At 49.2% G+C, this 7279-nt stretch overlaps 1 annotated feature.

Moving 5' to 3' along the window:
* Positions 5081–6044: an enhancer, noted in NCBI's record as "NANOG-H3K27ac hESC enhancer chr9:90858985-90859948 (GRCh37/hg19 assembly coordinates)". NCBI's record gives its function as "activates a minimal SCP1, AML or CMV promoter by ChIP-STARR-seq in naive H9 embryonic stem cells {active_cell/tissue: H9 hESC(naive)}" and the evidence as "EXISTENCE:reporter gene assay evidence [ECO:0000049][PMID:30033119]".

Below are 7279 nucleotides of genomic sequence, written 5' to 3'. Positions count from 1 at the left end.
TCTTTCCCTCTCCTTCCTCTCTAAAACCTGCTGAGTCTCTTGTCAGCAATGCCAACACCTGCCCTTTTCTTGCTACAGCTGTCTCCAGACCTTGGTTGAATCTCTCTCATTCGTGGCACACGCTCATACTCTCCACTACCACTACTGTCCTGATTTCTCTGGTTCTAGCGTTCACATCAATGGCCTGGCCTCAGCTCCGGCATCCTCTCCTCCAGTGATCTTCCACCTAGACTCAGAGACTGAACAAACTCCTCAATGTCATGTCCTGCCCAGCACCCTCAACCTCATGTCCTACCGGACATCTCCCACATTTTCATATCTCCCTCGTTTCCACAACTTTCACATTTTCACTTCCCTCAGCTACTCATAGACACGCTCATGTCCTTAGCAAGGACTTCTCACCCAGCTTGGTGTCCTTGGGTCAGGATCTAATTACTCCATGCCTGACTTAGCCCACTGGGGCTGCTATATCACAATACCATAGACCGGGTGCCTTATAAACAATAAACATTTATTTCTCACAGTTCTGGAGGCTGGAAGTCCAAGATCAAGGTGCTGGCTGGAAGTTCAAGATCAAAGATTCCCTGACCGGTGAGGTCCTGCTTCCTGATTCATAGTCAGTGCCTCTGGCTGTTTCTTCACTTGCTGGAAGGGGCAAGGGAGCTCTCTTGGGGTCCCTTTTACAAGGGCACTAACCTAAATTTTTGCAGGTCCCACACTCATGACCTCATCTAATCCTATTACTTCTTAAAGGTTCTTGAAACTATGACATTAGGCAGTAGGGTTTCAACATATGAATTTGGGGAAGAGACATTCAGTCCGTGACATTCCACCCTTGGCCCCAGCAAATTCATGTCCTTCTCACCTGTAAAATATATTCATTCCATCCCAACAGCCACCAAAGTCTTAACTGATTCCAAAAGCAACTCTAAAATCAAAAGTCTGGGTCTCGTCTAAATATCGTCTACATTAGCTATGGGTGAGACTCAAGGCACCACTCATCCTGAGGTAAACGTCCCTTCAGCTGTGAACTGTGAAATCAGACAAGTTATGTGCGTCCAAAGTACAATGGTGGAACAGGCACAGGACAGACGTTCCCCTAAGATGGTGCCCCTGTCTCATTCATCATTCTCACCTGGCAAAACCCCACTCCAGCCAGCCTGTTCTCACCTTGACCATGCCTGGCCCTGGATGGGGAAGGACACATTCCGATAGCTGGTCTCACTGAGGTGGCAGTCAGGACCCTCAGTGCTGCCTGTAATCCTATTACTTATGGTTCCTCATTTCCAGTCAGTGACTTTGCTTTCTAGTTCACTGAGGAAACAAACATGGGAAGAGAACTGCAAGTGCTCCATCTCAACACAGACATCCTTCTGGCTCTGTGTATGCCTCCCTGCCTTCCCCAAGTTACTCTTCTGGAAACTTCTGAGCTCCCACCCAGGGACAATTTTACACATGGGAGGGTCCAAGCCCCTCAGCCCATTCCCTCAGGCCATCCCAGCATTGTTCTCCTGAAATCCACCCCTTTCTTTTCCACATCATCTATTTCTTCCTCATCTTTTCCCCCATATCAAAAAAAAATCCCTCTCAGTGGCTGCCCAATATCTTTGCTCCTTGTTACAGAAAAATGCCACAGAATAATTCCCCTCTTGACTTTCTAGTCAGGCGTGAGCCCCACTCCTCACTCCGCTGCTGGCCCTTTTCACCGTGACCGGTCACTCTCATGTCGCTGAAGCCAATGACCAGTCCAAAGCCTCACCTTTGACCTGTCAGGGGACTGGACAGTTGAGACCCTCCCCTTTTAGAGACACTTCCTTCAAAGGGCCTCCAGATCCCCCCTCCTCACTCAATGTCCTGGGTTCTAACACCCACAGAATGTTCTGGAACCATGATTTCCAAAGCTATTTAGGACACTTTCATATGCCACCAGGCTTTTTAGTACATCCTCCCCATTGAGTACAACTCTGAATTGGCAAAGTTAGTTGTCAAGTAGTGCTTAACAATGTGTGGGTTCATGGGTGCCATGTTCCCCAGGGAATATCTGATGGTTGCCTTTGTCCTGGAATGACCTTTTAGCTGGATACCATATTCATGGATTGCTCATCCTTTCTCACAGAGTCTGTGGATTTTGCTCCAATGACTGTTGACTCTGCAAGTAGTTTCAGAGAAGCCCAAAGCATGACCAATTTTACCCTTTGCAAAATACATGGTTTATTTTCCTGGGTGCCTGAAAAAATTCTCTTCTTGTATTTTGAAGTACAATAGTATATCTAGGGTATTTCTCATTGCTGCACAATGTATATATTACTGTTTTTCATGGAACATGAAATATTTTTTGACCTGCAGATTTGAAGTTTCCTCCCTCTTTTGTTTTGTTTTTGAGAGAAGGTCTCACTCTGACGCCCAGGCTGGAGTGCAGTGGCGCAATCTTGGCTCACTGCAACTGCTGCCTCCCAGACTCAAGCAATCCTCCCACCTCAGCCTCCTGAGTAACTGGGAACATAGGCGCATGCCACCACACCTGGCTAATTTTTTTGTATTTTTGGTAGAGATGGGGTTTCACCATGTTGCTCAGGCTAATCTCAAACTCCTGAGCTCAAGTGATCCACCTGCCTCAGCCTCCCAAAGTGTTGTGATTATAGGTATGAATCACTATGCCCAGCAAGCCTCCCTCTTTGTTTAAAGATTTTTTTTTCTTTTTGTACTATAACTTTGATTTAATCTTCTGTTACATTTTTTTGGAGTCTTTTCTTCAGAGACAGTTTTTCTTTTGTTGGTTTGTCTCTGTCTCTCTTCTATAATTATTAGCTTCTTTCTAATTACTTCAATTCCTTTTAAAAATCTGCATTCAGTGTCATTATTTTCTCTATATCAGTAATTCAATTTTCAATGATATCGACTCTGTTCCTGTTATAATTTAAATTAGTTCTGCAATAACACTGCTTTCATCCTTAAGCTGTTTCCTTATGTTTGAATTTCCCTGTTTATTTCATGTTTTTAAAATCATTCATCATCTCTTTGAGTTTTGATTGTTATATATGTTTTTCGTCAAAAATTTTAGAGGATAAACTAGTTGGAATTGTGGAATTTTCTTCTGTCCTTGAATTATGTTTTCTTCTCTTGGGTTCTCTGGGTGTCTTTTGAATTACTTTTCCTTATTTGTGTATTTGCACTCTATTGCTGTGAATGACTATGTTGTTGCCATGTGGTTTCATTTCATTTTATTCATGTTTGAGAGGCTCTGACTTGAAATTCTACTTGTTCTTGTACGATGTGGGTACCTTCTTTGCTGTCTGGATTCTGATTTATCTCTCTCCTCCTTTGCCTGTTATGCTATAGCTTAAGATCAGGATAGACCATGTTCTTACCACCTTTCTAGAGTTTGCACAGTGCAAGGGTTTATTCTGCCCAGTTTGGTGTATGCTTTAATCCTGAGTGGGAATCGGGGAGGAATGTCTTAGAGCAATGTTTCCTAACCTTTGCTGTAAGTCAGAATCACCTGCAAAACGTTCAAAACTGCCAATGCCTGGATTGTACCCCAAACCAATTAAATGGGACTGTGTGAAGGTGGGAATCAGACTAGTACATTTTACAGTTCTCTAGCTGATTCTAATGTGCAGCAAAGCTTGAGACCTACTGCCTTAGGTCTTTGCATGATTCCTTAAGGAAAACACCTAAAAGGAAAAACTGTTTTTCTATACGCACGACATTTCTGACACCAAATGTGTATGTGTGTGTGTGGAGCGGGTTCCCATACCAATTAATTCTCCAACTCTCTGGACACCAACCAATTCACACTAACTACCTAGAGTTAGTGCAGACCCCAAAAGTTAAGGACTCAGCCACACAAATATAGCCCCCACTTCAGATATCGAGTCCCAGGTTGTCACTGGTACTTCTGACCAACTGGCTGTAAATCAGGGGTTCCCATGACCCTCTCCTCAGGTTTGATAATTTGCTTCAATGGCTTGCAAAAGTCAGAGAAACGTTTACTTATATTTACTGATTTAGTATAAAGGATGTTACAAAGGATACAGATGAACAACCAGATTAAAAGGTACATAACCTCCTCTCCCTCTCCCTCCTCTCCCTCTCCCTCCTCTCCCTCTCCCTCCTCTCCCTCTCCCTCTCCCTCTCCCCACGGTCTCCCTCTCCCCACGGTCTCCCTCTCCCTCTCTTTCCACGGTCTCCCCCTGATGCCGAGCCAAAGCTGGACTGTACTGCTGCCATCTCGGCTCACTGCAACCTCCCTGCCTGATTCTCCTGCCTCAGCCTGCCGAGTGCCTGCGATTGCAGGCGCGCGCCGCCACGCCTGACTGGTTTTCGTATTTTTTTGGTGGAGACGGGGTTTCGCTGTGTTGGCCGGGCTGGTCTCCAGCTCCTAACCGCGAGTGATCCGCCAGCCTCGGCCTCCCAAGGTGCCGGGATGGCAGACGGAGTCGCGTTCACTCAGTGCTCAATGGTGCCCAGGCTGGAGTGCAGTGGCGTGATCTCGGCTCGCTACAACCTCCACTTCCCAGCTGCCTGCCTTGGCCCCGCAAAGTGCCGAGATTGCAGCCTCTGCCCGGCCGCCACCCCGTCTGGGAAGTGAGGAGCGTCTCTGCCTGGCCGCCCATCGTCTGGGATGTGAGGAGCCTCTCTGCCTGGCTGCCCAGTCTGGAAAGTGAGGAGCGTCTCTGCCCGGCCGCCATCCCATCTAGGAAGTGAGGAGCGTCTCTGCCAGGCCACCCATCGTCTGAGATGTGGGGAGCGCCTCTGCCCTGCCGCCCCGTCTGGGATGTGAGGAGCGTCTCTGCCCGGCCGCCCCGTCTGAGAAGTGAGGAGACCCTCTGCCTGGCAACCGCCCCGTCTGAGAAGTGAGGAGCCCCTCTGCCCGGCAGCCACACCCTCTGAGAAGTGAGGAGCCCCTCCGCCCGGCAGCCACTCCGTCTGGGAAGTGAGGAGCCTCTCCGCCTGGCAGCCACCCCGTCTGGGAGGGAGGTGGGGGTCAGCCCCCCGCCCGGCCAGCCGCCCCATCCGGAAGGGAGGTGGGGGGGTCATCCCTCTGCCCGGCCAGCTGCCCGTCCGGGAGGGAGGTGGGGGGGTCAGCCCCCCGCCCGGCCAGCCGCCCCGTCCGGGAGGTGAGGGGCGCCTCTGCCCGGCCGCCCCTACTGGGAAGTGAGGAGCCCCTCTGCCCGGCCAGCCGCCCCGTCCGGGAAGTATGTGGGGGGGGTCAGCCCCGGGCCCGGCCAGCCGCCCCATCCGGGAGGTGAGGGGCGCCTCTGCCCGGCCGCCCCTACTGGGAAGAGAGGAGCCCCTCTGCCCGGCCAGCCGCCCCGTCCGGGAGGGAGGCGGGGAGGTCAGCCCCCCGCCCGGCCAGCCGCCCCGTCCGGGAGGGAGGCGGGGGGGTCAGCCCCCCGCCCGGCCAGCCGCCCCGTCCGGGAGGTGAGGGGCGCCTCTGCCCGGCCGCCCCTACTGGGAAGTGAGGAGCCCCTCTGCCCGGCCACCACCCCGTCTGGGAGGTGTACTCAACAGCTCATTGAGAACGGGCCATGATGACAATGGCGGTTTTGTGGAATAGAAAGGGGGGAAAGGTGGGGAAAAGATTGAGAAATCGGATGGTTGCCATGTCTGTGTAGAAAGAGGTAGACATGGGAGACTTTTCATTTTGTTCTGTACTAAGAAAAATTCTTCTGCCTTGGGATCCTGTTGATCTGTGACCTTACCCCCAACCCTGTGCTCTCTGAAACATGTGCTATGTCCACTCAGGGTTGAATGGATTAAGGGTGGTGCAAGATGTGCTTTGTTAAACGGATGCTTGAAGGCAGCATGCTCGTTAAGAGTCATCACCACTCCCTAATCTCAAGTACCCAGGGACACAAACACTGCGGAAGGCTGCAGGGTCCTCTGCCTAGGAAAACCAGAGACCTTTGTTCACTTATCTGCTGACCTTCCCTCCACTATTGTCCTGTGACCCTGCCAAATCCCCCTCTGCGAGAAACACCCAAGAATGATCAATAAAAAAGAAAAAAAATGGAAAAAAAAAAAAAAAAAAAAGGTACATAAAAGGTTGGAAGGGGTCTGAGTGCAGGAGTTTCTTTCCCCATGGAATTTGGATGTGTCACCCTCTTGGCACATGAATGTGCTCACCAACCTGGCAGCTCTTTGAACCCCATAGTTTAGGGATTTTTATGGAGGCCTCATCACATAGTCATGGTTGATTATTAACTCAATTTCCAGCATTTCTCTCCTCCAGGGAGAATGGGAGGTGGAGCTTGGAAGTTCCAAGCTTCTAATGATGGCTTGGTCTTTCTGGTGACCAGCCTCCATCCAAAGCTACCAGAAGCACACCAAGAGTAGCCTCATTAGAACAAAAGACATTCCTGGCCAGGTGTGGTGGCCCACACCTGTAATCCCAACACTTAGGGAGGCCAAGACAGGATCACTTGAGCCCAGGAGTTTGAGACCAGCCTGGGCAACATGGTGAAACCTAGTCTCTACCAAAAAATATAAAAAATTAGCTGGGTGTGGTGGCGTGGGCCTGTAGTCCCAGCTCCCTGGGAGGCTGAGGTGGGAGGATCACCTGAGCCTGGGAGGTCAAGACTGCAGTGAGCTGTGATTGTGATACTGTGCTCCAGCCTGGGCGACAGAGTGAGAACCAGTCTCTAAAAAAAAAAAAAAAAAATGACACTCCATTCACCCAGGAAATTCCAAGGGAATTGGGAACTTTGTGTCAGAAAACAGTGGCAGAGACCAAGTGTTTATTTCTTAGCTCACATCCCCCAGTTTAGTGTATGGCTCTGGGCCTTTAATTGTGCACCTAGTTTACTTTATCCAGCAGCTGTTTCTAACAGTCCTCAAATGCAAGGGAAAAAAGACAAGGAAACCTATGTAGTTCTTCTTTCCTCCAGATTTAAAAATTCACAGTACTTTTTTTTTTTTTACATTGGCACAATCTGTAGAGTTTATTCAGACTTCATCAGTTATACATTCAATTTATGTTTGTATAGCTCTATGCAATTTTGTCATGGAGCTTTGCATAACCACTACCACAATCAAGATACTCCACTGTATCATCACCACAAGATTCCCACATTTTACATTTTATAGCCACGCCCATCACTACCTGATCCCTGACCCCTGGCAACCAACTGATCAGCTCTCCACCTTGATAATTGTGTTATTTCATGATGTTAACATAAATGGGATCATTCAGGATGGATTCTTTAGGGACTGGCTCTTGTCACTCAGCATAATACTCCTCACGTCTGTCTACATTTGTGTGTATCAATCTCTTGCT

The sequence above is a fragment of the Homo sapiens genome, chromosome 9 (genome assembly GCF_000001405.40).
Source record: "Homo sapiens chromosome 9, GRCh38.p14 Primary Assembly".
Lineage (NCBI taxonomy): Eukaryota > Metazoa > Chordata > Mammalia > Primates > Hominidae > Homo > Homo sapiens.
This window is presented reverse-complemented; position numbering and strand designations above follow the sequence as displayed.